At 37.0% G+C, this 15952-nt stretch overlaps 1 protein-coding gene across 16 annotated transcripts in view, besides 2 other annotated features; it reads left to right on the forward strand.

Annotated features, from left to right (window-relative positions):
- Positions 1 to 15952, forward strand: part of NSMCE2 (NSE2 SUMO ligase component of SMC5/6 complex) — a 275261-nt gene that overhangs the window by 84173 nt on the left and 175136 nt on the right. For 14 of the 16 annotated variants that reach the window (NR_146191.2, XM_017013331.2, XM_047421702.1 and 11 more), the window contains one exon: positions 6071 to 6224. Coding sequence is in view for 14 of the 16 variants with exons in the window: in XM_017013331.2 (XP_016868820.1) it covers positions 6071 to 6224 (154 nt within the window). In the remaining 2 variants the exon portion in view is untranslated. Of the gene's footprint in view, positions 1 to 6070; positions 6544 to 15952 lie in introns of those variants that run through there. The other 2 variants (NR_146192.2, NM_001349487.2) reach the window with 1 other exon arrangement.
- Positions 12827 to 14026: an enhancer, noted in NCBI's record as "BRD4-independent group 4 enhancer chr8:126201101-126202300 (GRCh37/hg19 assembly coordinates)". NCBI's record gives its function as "activates an origin of replication core promoter dependent on BRD2, P300/CBP, MED14 and CDK7 cofactors, and independent of BRD4, by STARR-seq in HCT116 cells {active_cell/tissue: HCT116}" and the evidence as "EXISTENCE:reporter gene assay evidence [ECO:0000049][PMID:35650434]".
- Positions 15742 to 15811: an enhancer, noted in NCBI's record as "active region_27904". NCBI's record gives its function as "activates an Ori minimal core promoter by ATAC-STARR-seq in GM12878 lymphoblastoid cells {active_cell/tissue: GM12878}" and the evidence as "EXISTENCE:reporter gene assay evidence [ECO:0000049][PMID:35858748]".

The following is a 15952-nucleotide window of genomic DNA, read 5'->3' on the forward strand; positions in this document are numbered from 1 at the left end:
AGAGAAATGTTGCAGTCACAGGGGTGTTGGGTTCTAATTACATGTAGCTAAGTATTCACAAGTGATTTTGAGCTAAAATGAGCAATTCGTTGAAGAGTCTGTGGAATTTCTGGGGATTTGCGTGTTTCTTCCTGTTACTGTTTCTTTCTTTTTGCAGCAATTTATTAAACAAAGACCTGGATATTTGGAGTCAGCCTTTGCGCATATGTCTGCTCTTGCTAGAGTCTCTAGTGACTCAAAAATCTAATGCACACTTTTCACTTCTTATTTAGTTTCACTTCTCTGCAGCATTTGACAGATCTCGAAATTCCTTCCTAAACTTTGTGGATATTTTCTTTTGGTTGTTTCTTAACTCTTACACTTTTTCTTTTTAAACTCTTCTAGCCGCCCTTAAAATGTGATATCCTCCAGAGTTTGGTCTTGGTCCTTTTTTTTGTTTCTATTTATCCAGTCTCCTTGGTGATCCCATTCATTTCCATGGTTTCCATTAAAATCCATACACTGGTTGCTCCAAGTGGGTGTCTTTATGTCAGTCTTGATGAGCTATAGACCTGTGTATTCAGCAACACTGGAGATATGTATAGATAGATAATAATAGTAACAACAATACTAACAGCTACTCATTATTGAATATTTTCTGCATCAGACAGGTGAGCGCTTTATTGCTTCATTTATTTACCTCACAGCGACACTATACATTGTCTTAAAAACCAGAAAAATGTCTCATAAAGATCCCGATTTCTAAGTGTCCTGGAAAAGCCTGGGCTTGCCTTCTTACCTGGCAGCAGACATCGGCAGCTGAGTAACAGCTTTCCTCTTACCTGGGACTTGTACCATTACTTCACACAGTCCTCACCACTTCCTATTGGCCTGCACTTATTGTGAGTTTCCTCATATCCTTGCTGGTCTAGCCCCATAGGCATTTCTGACACCTGTAAGGACAATTGACATGCTTTCCCAGCTGGTTGCAGACTTCTCTATTTTTTGCCCTAGTACTGGAATGGTTTTCTCAAATGAAATTTGTTACTTGCTTTCTCTTAATAGTTTTCTATGTATGTTTCTTTATCACCTCCTCCTCTACCCACAACTTTGTTAAAGTCTCTATGCTGAAGTTAGAAGGAAAAGAATAAAAGTTTTTGATCATTTACTATGGGCCAGAGTTAAACACAGGCTTGGTTTAGTTAAGTCTTCACAGCACTGAAGTGGGTGTTCCTGATTCCTAATTAAGAGATGAGAGAATTTCTGGGTTGAAGAATTTCAACCCAGAGTGGATTCAGATCTGTCTGATCCCGAGCTCAAAGTTTTTTCTCCTCTATCATAACAACTTCTAGCTCCTGTTCCTCTATACAAATAAACAAGTATCTTTAGCACTCTCATTCCCATGATCTGCTTCTCATCTTGTTCCTCCTTTGCCATCAAACTATATTCATTGGTTCACACAGAACTCTGTTAACCCCTTTTCTCATCTCAACACAGTGTAATTTAGCCTTCTGATAATTTACTCGTTCACCCACATCATCTGAGCACCCACTGTGCAACAGGCAGCGGGCCAGACACTAGGGACATAATCCTTGTCTGAGAGAAGCTTCATGGAGCCATAATTCCAGCGCTGTGTGCAGAATGCCTTATAATTAAATCCAGTGGATTTAAGGATTAGCCCTTTTCTTACTTAAGCTCACTTGCATCATTTTCCCCAAAGGACAAGCACTTCTCTAATGGAAATTTTCTCTTTCCTTTCTTCTGTAGCATTCCTCACTGCTGGTTTTCTTCTTTAGTTTTTCAGAGTTCCTTTTGCATCTCTCTTCTTTTTCTTCCAGTGCCCTCATTTTAAATGTTTCTAGCTTCGTACTAGGTAACTTCACTTCAAAGTCTTACAGTTTCAGTGATTTGTGCTGCTTTCCTCAAGACAATAGCATTTGACTAGCTGTCCACATTAAATATCTTGGAGGCATCATTACTCTCTTGTCTTCCTCTCACAACAAGAGTTGGTGATTCTGCTTCTAAAACAGCATCCCAGTTGCCAGCCCCTCTGCCATTAGTTAACATATGGCAGCAACTGCCCTCTCCCTCCCTCTCAGTTGTGTGTCCTCCAGGCATTAACAATAGTAATCATTTTTTTTAAACTCTCATTATCACTTTACCCCTTGAAATCTTGTAGTGTCTTTCTCGCTGCCTGTTGGGTCAGGTCTCAGTTCTATAACCTGGCCTCCAGAGCTGTTGACCGTCTGCTCCTGATCCACTCTTCTGGTCTACTCTCATTTTAGCTACAGTGCTTAGCACACAGAGAGCACTCACTGAATACTGGATGAGTAAGCGGGTGGTACAGAAAAATCTGACCTTTTGTTGTCAAAGGGCAGAATTAAATTTTTATCATGTAAGTATGGTACCTACTATTTACTTCTCAGTAACTTCTCTCATTTTTAAATTATAATGATATAAACATTAATCCAGTGTATTGTGTTTCTCTTAAATTCATATGTTGAAGTCCTAACCCCTAGTAGGACCTCAGAATTTGACTGTATTTGGAAATCAGGTATTTAAAGAAGTCATTAGGTTGGCTGGGCGTGGTGGCTGACGCCTGTAATCCCAGCACTTTGGGAGGTGGAGGCGGGCGGATCACGAGGTCAGGAGATCGAGACCATCCTGGCTAACACGGTGAAACCCCGTTTCTACTAAAAATACAAAAAATTAGCCGGGCATGGTGACGGGCACCTGTAGTCCCAGCTACTTGGGAGGCTGAGGCAGGAGAATGGTGTGAACCCGGGAGGTGGAGCTTGCAGTGAGCCGAGATCGTGCCACTACAGCCTGGGCAACAGAGTGAGACTCCGCCTCAAAAAAAAATGATAATAATAAGTCATTAAGTTAAAATGAGGTCAGTAAGTGGGCCTTAATCCAATATGACTGATGTCCTTAAGAGGAAATTTGGACACAGACCTGTGTAGAGGGAAGACCATTTGATGCCATAGGACCCAGCCCTGCTTGGACTTGCCCTGATCTTGGACTTCTTAATTCCAGAACTGTGACAAACTAAATTTCTGTTGTTTAAGCCACCTAATCTGTGGTACTTTGTTATTGCAGCCCTAGTAAATTAATATACCTAGTATCTTTTAATTCACTGAGATTCTAAGTCCTGTATCTGGGTAGACTTTATTATTGGGAAAAGGATGGACCTAATAATCTAGTAGATCTCTCCATCTCAAATTTCTTTGAGGTATTTGAAATTTGACCAAGGAAGTTAAAGGCTACAGTAAACTGTGATCATGCCACTGTACTCCAGCTGGGTGACAGAGCCCGACCCTGTCTCTTAATTTAAAACAAACAAACAAAAATTCTCCTAAGAAAAGAGGGGCATCTTTATCTTTTTCATGCTACATGATTAGCCACTCAATTTTTTTTCCTTTCATTAATCTGTGTCTCTTAGATATTCAAACAAAGCAAGAAACCATTAAAAAATAGTTAGTGCCCATTTGTTTTATTGATTTAAAGAGATAATGAGTTGAATGTTTTTAAATTTCATTTTGATAGCTAGAGTACAGTCAGTTCTCTTTGCAATGGATGGCCATGCAGACTCAAACTTTCAGAGAAGACATTTACAGCAGTGAATTTATGTGCTTTACAGCAGTTTTCTAAAAGTTCTGGTTATGGGGGGAAAGCACAGTGAATCACTAAAAATTTGGTTTATTCAGCTTTTCCTAGTCATATTTCAGGTTGTCATGTTGTCAGACCTCAAAATGCCTCTCCCCTCCATCCTCACTGCCCCCACTCAGTCTTCACCTCCTCAGCAGTGGTTGTAGTGGAACTGTGGGAATTAAGTAGGTTGACTGTGTTAGAGACTTTGTTGGAAAACAACATTCAGATTTTACTTATTATCTGCTTAGATCATCCCAGATTACATAATAATTTCAGACTGATTACACCTTGACAAGGCTCACCTGAATGTCTTCCTATAATGTTACCATTAACATCTTAGGTGGATGTGAGTCCATTTTATTTTATAAATCCAGAAAGAGCGCCTATAATCCTTTTCTAAGAACCAGCAATTTATTTTCTAGGTCTGCTCTCAATTCTTCATGCTACAATTTTGAACTTCTTGCATTTTGTTCTATTATGTAGAGGTAGAGGATAGCTAGTCACCGTGTATAATAGCTCTTATTCTTGAGATATAAGGCACTATTATATTGCCTTTCTATCTTCTCTTTTCCAAATTGAGCTTTATTCGTTCTTTAGCCATACAGTACTTCTGTTAAATCCTTAATTACATATAACACTTGTCATTAAAGCCTCTCCATGTTTTCTAAAACTCTCTTTAATGGTGAATCCAGCACTTGGGGGTTAGCAATACAAGAAGACAGTCCGTTCCTACACTAAAATATAAATTTTACACATTTTGGTTTCATGCTTAATTCTCATTTTCTATTTAGTAATCAAAATGCATAGCAATTAAGCAAAAGAAGATTATGTCTTTTCTCTGTGACAAAAGTTAAAGCATATACTTTGCAGATAATCTTTTGAATTCATATGCATTGATAACTCAGATTCAGAGAGATTAGAAGTATATGCTACTGACTAGAACCAATATCAAGAATTTTCTGTATCTAACTTGTAGTCTTAGCATTACCTCTGACTAGTTGGATGTAGAAGATAAGTCATTTGACTTCTTTCTAAATCATTTTATTTATTTGTGAAACTGGGGGGAGGAGATCAAGATTAGATTATCTCTAAGCTGTCTTCCAGCCTAGAAATTGTACTATATACTAATAATAATGGCAGCTAATAAATTGTGGCTTTTAGTGGGTAGGTATATTTGGAGCTAATAAGATTAACTTATTTGAAATACATGTTGAGTACTACCTACTGTGTGCTGGGCACTGGTAATACCGTGATAAATCAGACATCTTTCAAGGAGTTTATTAGGGGAAAGAGGCATAAAAATAAGCAATTGAATATTCCTGGAGTGGTGGTAGAAGTCCGTCTAAAGTGTATGGGGCACAATAGAGAGTTTGGTGAGTTTTGCTTGGCAGCAGGAGCATCAGGAAAGGGCCAGTGATGAAAGGGAGCGATTATGAAGGCCTGATGGAGAGCAGCTGCAGCAAAGTGATAAGGCAGCAGCTTGACTATAGTGGCTAAAGCTGGAGGATGAGAAGGTGGAAAGAGTGGCTCCTTTTTTCCCCCAAGGAGGTGGAATATGAACAGAAAATAACTGGGGGCAGGGAGTTGGGATTATAAGAGGTTGTTTGTTTTAAAAAATGGGTGTGAAGAGCCTGTGTAAAGGTTCTTGAGAAAAGAGCCCGTTGAGAGGAAAGTTTGTTGTGAAGGAGATGAAGATGTAATAAAGAACAGGGTTGAGAATGGATAGCGAGATAGATAGATGAATAGATATGTGATAACATACACAGAGCAGAATGTTAATTGTGGCACCTAGGAAGTAGATGAATGAGTGTTCATAATATACTTCCTTCAACCTTTCTGCATATTTGAAAATTTATAATATTGGGAAATAATTTTATAATATTGGGGATGGAGGAGAACATGGGTTGAGAATTTAGCCTTGAACAGAACCAGGGGGCACTTATTCCTTGGCATGGCAGGACATTATGGAAGGTCAAGGCTAAAGCCCCAGCCACTTTTGTAAAGCAGAAGTGACTCTGACCTGCTAGGGTGGAGGGCCAAAAAAAAAAAAATGTTGAGCATGAAGGATGGAATAACCACTTGTGAGTGTGAGAGAGGACTGAGCAGACTTGGGTGGTGATGCTCAGGTCTGGTGAAGTTGCCACATTTGTGATTTTCCCTGGCAGTTATCAGAAGACAACAAGTTAGTAGGATCATTGAAGGGCCACTAGCTTACGGAAGCCAAAATAGAATGAGTAGTTGGCATGAATGAGTCCCTTCAGTATTTGCCAGCAGTCTGTCCTAGAACATGTCCCAACCTCTCTGGTGCTTTGTTCAAGAGATTGTTTTCAACCTCACTATCTTTTGCTTTGAATTATCTGAGATAAAAACAATGTTGCAAAACTTTGTTAACACTATTATTATTAACATTTAACTCAGGTAATTTTGTTGTCTCCCTTAGGTGAAAGAAGAACGTCCAGAAAAAATACCAGATTTAAAATTATTGGTAGAGAAGAAATTTTTGGCTTTACAGAGCAAGAATTCTGATGCAGACTTTCAAAATAATGAAAAATTTGTACAGTTTAAACAACAGCTGAAAGAACTAAAGAAGCAATGTAAGTCAACATGCTTTGCTTTGGTTCGGCTTTTTGAAATTAGGGAACTGACTTGATGAACAGCCCCAGTTAACTGATTTTATAAAGTTTGCTTATCTGCTTGGCTTGATCCTCATTCTAAGTTGCGTTTTATTGTTGTTGCAATTCTGTATTTTGTCTAATTTTTGGTTCAAATCAGCCTGCTCATTTCTGAAAGCCAACAGTTTCCACAAAGTGCTCAGAAAATTTCCCAGCAGCTAGTTATGTGTATTGTCCCATTGCTGGGGAGGGAAATTGGGAAAACAAAATAAAAGTGAAAACTATTTTATTTAAATAACAATGGTATCGTTCAAGTTTTAAACTGCTGTGCCATGCTTTAAAATAACCATACTTTGATTCTGGTTTTGCCTCTTTGGAGTAATATTAGCTATGTTTTCTCTCAGAAGACCACTTTATCTTCTCAACTATAGACCAAAATCTCCTTGATCCATTTTAGCATTGTGGTAGTATAAATTCCATGTGGTTTTTAAATTGTTGCCTTCTTAATAAACTATTACATTCAAGTTTTTTAGTGGACATAATTTTGACTTAAGAATTGGAGCAGGCAATGTAATTTTTTATACCAAAAAAATTTTTTAGACAGTATTTACCAGAAATAATATATCATTTCTGCACAGTAAAGTATATATGCCCTTTCTTTTCCCATTCTTCCATATGGTCCACATACCAATTTTATATAAATTGATTTTTTCACATTAGCATCTATTTAGTCCTGTAGTCTTTGCTTCTTTTAGGATTGAGACGCTTGTATTTCTTAAAGAAGTGAATAGTGAAGCAAATAACCTTTTCTAACTTTAGTCTCCCAACACCTTCATTTACACACACATGGAGCAGGAGTGTTGTATGATATGAGACATAAATTTACCTCGTGTCCTTATATGTGCTTAATGTAGGGATTCGTATTTTGAAATAGGCTTTCTTTTAAATATAAGCATTTTCTTTAAATTGATGCTGAGATCTCAAAAAATGACTGAGGAAGCTGCCTCACTTTTGTCTATTTTACAAATAACTTAAGTTTCACAATTTGGAATGTTTTGCAATCATGATGAGACTTTTGTTTTTACTGTAGACTTAACCAGTAAGCATTTTCCCCATATTTTAAGTTTATTTTTGTTCTTTTTTTTAACATCACAGCTCCCAACATTCTTCTAATGTATTTTTCACTCTTCCCTCAAATGATTAATAATTTCCCAAAGAGATAATAATTTGCCAATGGCTTTCTGATCTTAAAGATGCTAGTGAATTAATTGTATAGCCATGAGAATTAGACATTATTCCCCTTAAATATACATGGGCCATATAGTCTTTACCTTTTATCCATGATATTTATTACTCAGTGGTGTGTGTGTGTGTGTGTGTGTGTGTGTATAGTATCTGGCACATGGACCTGTGATTACCAGCCTGAGGCCAACAAACCCCTCAGTTGGGATGTAGAGATTAAACAAAGCTTTTAAAAGCTCACATTATATGACCTCAAGTTTGTTTACCTGGTCATCTCATGGTAATTAGAAACTCTGATTGGCAGCTTTCGATTTCTTGATTAAAAACCTAAATAAACTGATTGTTATAGGCATTTTTTCAAAGGCATTCTCAGTGAAAAGACCGAGAACTATTCTATTTGGTGCTTAGTGAAAATATTTTGAACTAATATATGTACCAGTTATTAACATCTCTTTATTAAATGCAATAGTTTTTTGTCAAATAAATAGCAATTTTTCAATCTTGAAAAAAAAAAGATGCTAATGAATTTCAGTTTTGGTGTTGGTCTAAGTAGCCAAATGTATTTTATTTGACTATTTGGAGCCAGTACTCATAAACTGTGGCAGACTTAGCATCCAATCACAATTCCTGAGTTTTAAGTAATTTTATAATACAGGTTGAAGGACAAATATTCAAAAATATAAATTGTTCCTTCTTTTGTTATTGTTTACAAAGTTATTATTCCACAAGGTAAAGGATGAAGACTTTTAGAATCATACTCATGGAGAAACACTTTCTAATTAAGAACATATAATTCAAAAAAATGATAAATGTTGAAATCATGGCTATTACTTCTTAAATCTCTCTAAAATGGAGTTGGAAAAAGAAAGAAAATGTTTCCTCAGGCCACCAGTACACATTATTTGGATAGACAGTCAAACCTTATGTATATTTATATTGAAAGAAATACTTCCTTATAAAGTTTCCCTGTATATTGTAACACTGGAATTAAAATAACTTTCCCCTAAAATAATTAAAATAAAAATTTCCCCTAGAATTTTATTTTAAAAAGTTTTTAGATTTCAAATGACAGAACAAGCAAAATATTAATACTTTTGAAAAATACTCTATAAGATCTGTATACCTTACTTGCAAAATGTAATTTTAGTGCAGTATTATTAATATAATACTTGTATTATACTAATACAAGTTGATACAAGTATAAACTTGTACCATGTCTAGTGGATTTTCTTTCTTTAGATTTAACACTGTTGTGAGGGTTCTAATTAGGATCAGGCTCCCACAGTATTTGTGTAGCCAGGTCAAAGGTACACTATGATATGTAAATGAGCTAATGAATCTGTTTTGAGATATGTTCTGGCGGCAAGGAATTACAATAATAATTTTTTTGTTTTTAAAGATTAGAAAATAGAGGCCAGAGAGAGAGACTTGCTTCTAGATGCCTGTTTTGACAGAGTAAAGGCTGAAGTGCTTTTATGGTCTACATAGATCCAAAGAGTTCTTTTATGAAAATAACCACCATGTCTTCACTAACTTTATTATATAAGAACATAAATACATGGGATTACATTTGACAAAATCAGGATCTAATCAGAGAAATGCTAGGAATCTTTTAGGTGGGGAGAGGCCAAGATACAGCTTGCAATGAAGTTGTCTCCCAGGTGGTTTTGTCTCAAGGGCAGGCCTAGGTACACTCTGCTGGCAGTGCACCAGCTGTAAGTTAATCTATCTGTGGCTCAGCAGCTGGTTCTCAAAGTTTTTGGTCTTCTGCTCCCATTACATTTTAAATTTTTTTTTTTCTTTTTTTTGAGACAGAGTCTCGCTTTGTTACCCAGGCTGGAGTGCAGTGGTGCAACCCTGGCTCACTTCAACCTCTGCCTCCCAGGTTCAAGTGATTCTCCTGCCTCAGCCTCCCAAGTAGCTGGGATTATACGTGCATGCCACCAAACCCAGCTAATTTTGTATTTTTGGTAGAGACGAGGTTTTGCCATGTTGGCCAGGCCGGTCTTGAACTCCTGACTTCAGGGGATCCACTCGCCTCAGCCTCCCAAAATGTTGGGATTACAGGCGTGAGCCACTGCACCTGGTCACATTCTTAAAATTTACTGAGAGCCCCCAGAGAGCTTTTGTTCATTGGTTATATCAACTGACATTTATCATATTAGAAATCAAAACTGAAGAATTCTAAAAATATTAACATATGAAAAATAAGCCTATTACATGTTAATATAAACAGTATTTGATATGGGATACCACTTTACATTTTATAAACATAAAGGAAAAATTATTGAGAAGAGTGGCATTCTTTTACATTTTTGTCAATCTCTTCAATTTTTGGCTTATTTAAATAGAAGGTAACTAGCTCCTCATATTTGCATCTGCATTTGGTCTATTTTGTTGACGTACACAAAGAAAATTTTGTCTCACACATTGGTAATTGAACTTGCTGAAAAGATCTTGCAGACCACCAGAAGTTCTCACTTTGACAACTCTAGATCTAGGCCTGGGGTCAGTAAACTCTGGGCCATGGACCGAATTCAGCCTGCCTCCTGATTTTCTATGGCCTGCAAGCTAACAATGATTTTTATGTTTTTTAACTGTTGGAGAAAAAAATCAAAAGGGGAGTAATATTTGGTGACTTGTGAAAATTATATGAAAATTCTATTTCAGTGTCCATAAATGGTTTCATGGGAACATAGTCATACTCACCTGTTAATGTGTTTTCTGTGGGTACTGTCACACTGTCATGGCAGGGTTGAGTGAGTGCATCACAGATCATCTGGTTAGCAAAACTTACCGTATTTATTATCTGACTTTTTACAGTAAATGTTTACTGACCCTTGATCTAAATTATATTCAGAAGTAACGGCAGTTTTTATTTTTTTAATTTTATATTTTTTCCCTGAATACCATCCATTTGTCTCAAGTACATTCAGAACACTTTGAGGATTCACTGTGTATGAATTACTACAGTTGAGGCTCTGAAATAAATAAAAAGCAAAAAGCAGGAATCTGTACATGCAGAAGACAGTGTATACAAACATGATATAATATGACAACCATTAATAACAAATATCAACTCAAAAGCAAAGAAAACATCAGAAACAAATGTTATACAATGTGGGACCTAAGTGAGGAGAGTCAAAACAGGAATGCCATGCCAGTCAACTGATATGGGGCTCTCTGGAGCAGTAGGTACAGAAAGATTTTGAGGCTGGGTTCAGCCCCAGTAGGAAAGAATGTGCTAAAAGATAACAGTGGGAAAGGAGAGGGCAGTACAGATGTCTAGTATTTACCATCCCCAGAATACAAACCTAACAGATATACTACACTCATTTAGAGATACTGTTACTCTAAAGATAATATATTTCAGTTACACACAATGATTTTCCCAATAGTTATGTCTTATAGATATTACTAGGCATTAGATATAACATCTTTGAACAAAGAATTTTATCCTTTAGATACCCAGTGTCCTGTATGTTAGAAATAATTAGGTCTGCCTCAGCTTACATCTCAGGGTCATTACCAAGATTAAATGAGATACTGACTCTGCTAGCTCTAAAAGCTTTAGATTTAAGTTATTGAGGAAGAGCTAGTACAGCATAATGGAAAGAATGTGGCTTAGCAGACGGAAGACTTGGATTTGAGTCACTTAATAGCAGCCTACTCTCCCTTCAGATACCGCCTATCTTAGATACTTCTAATTCTTGGAGTCATAGAATCAAGATTGATCGAAGATAACTTCTACACTTCTAGACAAGATGACTAGGATAGTGATGGTGGTGATAACTGAGTTAGGGAACAATTTCACAGAGAAGAATTTCTTAAACAGTAATCATATTCTCACTAGCCCAAGTTGTGAAATGAAACAATATGATTCGGTTTAAGGCAGACATAACCAGACTTTCTTGGGTGAAATAATTTTAATTTAGCTAGACAATATGGATAATTTTCTCTTCTCCTTGCCTTAAACTGCCTTCAATATTACAGCTCATGGTTTCTTGCAGTTTTAACATCAGGAGAACTTAATTAGAATGTGTGAACTCCTCTGTATAGATACTTCTTCAAGTCATCAAGCAATCTTTCTGGCGTCTTTTATTCATTTACCTGTTACGTGACTATCAGGCCCTGTAGATTTTAGTGTACATCAGCAAAGGCAGAAATTGAGGGCAGTTGTCAAAGCCCTTATGTTTTGAAAGTTTCTAAGATTGAGATTTAGAAACTTTCAAAATATAAGGGCTTTGCTTTATGTTCAAAAACAGAATTGAATGTGAATCTGAAATTTTAAGTGTTAATTTAATATGCAATATAATTTTGTTAGTATATTTAAATGCTAAGCTTAAAGGAGAACGTATCATATTATCTTTTAATGAAAAAAATGCTTATCTGAAAAGGTTCACCACAAATTTAGACAGTATATTTAGGTCACTGTTACATATAGAATATATGGTATGGAGATAATTGCAGCTACAAGTGAAGGTTATAAATCATTTTGAATGACAATGATATTTGTATCAGACATATAGAGACATAGGAATTCACATTGTAATCTAGCAATTAATATGGATTCATTTTAAGCACACCCAATCTAGATCTCAAAACTGATAAAAGGAGGGAGCGGCCATTCACTTTACAAAAGGATTCTCTGAAGGATACTATTAAGTCTTCTCAGGAACATTAGAACACCTTCGCTTTACTATTTTTAGTTGGTGGCTTTTCCGTCTCCTTCAGCATCTACTCAAAACCACAGTGTAGTTGCACAAGGGTAGTGGTTTTTATGTTTTGCTTACTGCTGTATTCCTTGAACTCCAGCATGAGGCCTAGGTACAGTGTAGTATTACCATAGCACAGGTCCTTGATGGTCACAGCAGTCTTCCAAAAAACCATCATGTGCTTGAGAGCTTCTGTGCTACTGAAAGGGGACACCTGTCACCCCTGCCAGCCTATTGTTGCTGTGAGTGGGTGTGGACCCACTGTTGCCAGATCTTCAGGTTGTTTTAGAAAACTCAGAAATCTAAGTTACTAGATTTTTCTGTTTTTCAGTTACTAGATTTTAAAAACACTGTTCAAACAAAACTGTTAGTTTGTAACCTTTGCCTTTACTTTCTCATAATATAATTTTTTTAGTGCCTTATTAGGCACTTTAATGAGAGACGGCAGCCGTTTAATTTACTGTTAATTTGTGATGTCTTCAGAAGAGTGAATGGTTTTGCTTTCAGGATACTGCGAACTAAGGCCAAAATGTGCAGTTTGCTTCATTTGGGAATGTGTATTGTAGAAACCTGTTGGGTTCTATTGAAAAAGCAGATGGGGGTTTTGTGATGGGGGCCAGGTATGGGAGCCCCCTCATCCAGATGCAGGTGAACAGTGTGGTTCTAGAGAAGACTAGTGATTGGAAAGGTATGTGTGAGTTTTGAAACTTGGAAGAAGACAGATGAGAAGTAAACCAAGGTAGTGCCAATAGGGAAAATATTTGACTTTTCCTAGAAACATATTGAGTGCATTTAAACTGGGCAAAGTATGGACCAACTTGCCTTCATCCTGATACTATTCAACTTAGAAATGTTTTACTTTGTCATAAGGTATAACTGTTGTTAGAAATAGATAATCAGTGTCACGAAGAAAAGTCAGCACAGAGACAAAGGACCTCTCAGCAAGGCAATCTTTACTTTCTGCAGAAAGGGTGCTCCACACAGATGGAATAATGACAAGAGCACACCTGAACAAAGGAAAAGCAGACATGTTTATCCCTTATGCATTTGGGTCATCCTTACTGCTCTGTCCTGCATCCATTGGCTGGAGCTGAACCTCACAATCTTAAACTGATACTCGATTTGCTAATAGCCTAAAACTTTCCTAAATAGGTAAGTGCAACGAAGAACAAAGAAGGAGAGGAAGTTGCTTATGAAAGGTTTAAGGCTAAAACTTGCCTGGGCCTGTCCAGACATGCCTAAATAAGCCAAAGCAACTAACTGGGCTAAAGTGTAAGAACTAATAGTTGATAGGAGGCTTTAGAGTAAGGAACTGTTATTCCTAGAACAGATTTATTCAACTGATCAGATAAGCTGCCTAGAAAAAGAGGGTCAGAACATAGTTAAGGCAGTCTGATGATAAAAATCCTTTTCCTCTCAATACATCATCAGTAAGGAAGAGAAAAATAGAGGACAAAAATTAGCATTTATAGGGTTGAGATCTAAAATCAGTAGAAAAGGTTAAAAATTTATATTGTCTTTGAAAATTCCTTAAAATGCTCAACAAAAGTAAATACATAATTTTGTGTATATAACCCTTTACAATGATATGTTGGCACAAACATATAGTATATACAGCAATACACATTTTTTAATATCACAGAATATGGCTTTAGTCACTTAAGTGTGACTGCTTAGAACATTCAAACAAATTGATGAAGTTTGCTGGCTCTTCTATGGTTTTACCATCTCTGTGCCTCTCAGCAGGTCTTCATTTTTTCCTTAAAGATGTTGATGAAGCCATTGCCATTAACTTGCTGAATAATTGTTGGGAGATGCTAAAAATCTTAAATGTCACAACCAAGATGGACTTTTTCAGGCTGGATTGCATCCTGAGAGCTTATGTTCATTGAGTGAAATTTCTGCCCTACACAAATTTTTTATTCTTTGAGTATTTGCCTCTCTCCTCTTTCCTCCTCTCTGAGTCAGCATCTGTCTGACTCTTTTCTGTGTGTCTCTTTCCTCCCTGTTGCTTTCTTTGTGTCTCCCACTCCATAAGTTTTCTCTTTTCTGTAAATTTTGACTTACATCATTGCAGCTGAAGAGGTTATCCCCATCTTCATGGTGAAGCAGCCTCAGAGAGATCAAGTGACATGCCCAAGAACAACAAAGCTAGTGAACAGTAGAACCAGAAGACAGACGGTGCCAAGGATGAAGAGAAAACATTGGAGAGAAGTGTAGCTACTCTCTCTCTTCTCTTTTGTAAAGCTGTTACTTTTTAGGAATGTTTACATTTTAAAGTAGATTTGGGGGACCAAATAAATAATTAAGAAAAAGATTAATTCAAATTAAAGGATTGATTCCATAGTGGTGGAGTTTTAATGAGGTCATTAAGCTGTCCAGGAGTTATTTTGTAGTGAGAAATTAACTTTTTCTACATGTCCTTTATATTGTATAGTAAAAGCACTCATCTACTCTGCATTCATCTTAGGTTTGCCCTATTCCTATTGGATGATAGTTATAATACAGGTCATAGGCATGCTTTGTATAATGCCTAGTACCTAAAGTACTGAGTGCTGGTTGAATTAATGAATAACAGCCGACATTGTTTGAGTGCTTACCTCTGCTCAGGCTATTGTACTTGCAGACTTTATGTACATTATTATGATTATTTTTTGAGATGGAGTTTCGCTCTTATTGCCCAGGTTGGAGTGCAGTGGCATGATCTCGGCTCACTGCAACCTCTGCCTCCCAGGTTCAAGTGATTCTCCTGCCTCAGCCTCCCGAGTAGCTGGGATTACAGGCACCCGCCACGCCACCTAGCTAATTTTTTGTATTTTTAGTAGAGACGGGGTTTCACCATGTTGGCCAGGCTGGTCTTGAACTCCTGACCTCAGGTGATCCACCCGCCTCGGCCTCCCAAAGCACTGGGATTACAGGTGTGAGCCACCATGCCCAGCCATTATGTGCATTATTATTTCTTTCTTTCAGCTCTATTAGATGGCTGTATCCATTTTATAGATGAGAAAATAAGCAAAGAGATGTAATATAAGTTGCCTAAAATCCTGATGCTGAAATTCATACCCAGGTTTAGGTGATACCACAGCCCATGTTCTTTCCCACATACCACACCAATTCTTGAAAACACTTTTGTGTGTTTTTTCTTTCTCTCAATTCAAGCATACCATTCATTTCTTGGAAAAAAAAAATTGACTTTTAATAGGACTCTTGAAGAGTGAATCATCTGTTTGGATCTTCCAGATCATAGAACTGCCTTGATGTACTTTGATGACGCTGGAGGAATCTGCTTCATCTAGCTGAGAGAGAATCTTTTTCGGTCACTTGCATTTAGAGATTAGGGAGTAGTAATGATACCAGACATTACATAGCAGTTCTTCTTTTCCAGATCTCCATGGTTTTGGCAATTCATTTAGAATACAGTGCCTAAGAATTATGTTTCTGGTGGAATAGTTGGTGTGTTATGGCAGAGAGGAGGAGGATATTTATGGCATCCCAAGTTTAGAACAAATTCCATGAAATTTATTTCAAACATAACAACAGTAATCTCTTGCACATACATCATCTCGCGTAATCTTTACAACATCCACACGCAGGAAAGGAATGCATGAAAAGTACAAGTTCTGTTTTTAGCAGACTGAACACCATATAATAAGAATCTTGGAGGTGACATATTTACCCAGTGTCTCACAGTCAAGAGGCCACAAGGATAGCAAATACGTTCACAAGGAAAGGGGAAGTTTTAAAATGACAGAT

Source organism: Homo sapiens, chromosome 8 (assembly GCF_000001405.40).
Source record: "Homo sapiens chromosome 8, GRCh38.p14 Primary Assembly".
NCBI classification, from domain to species: domain Eukaryota; kingdom Metazoa; phylum Chordata; class Mammalia; order Primates; family Hominidae; genus Homo; species Homo sapiens.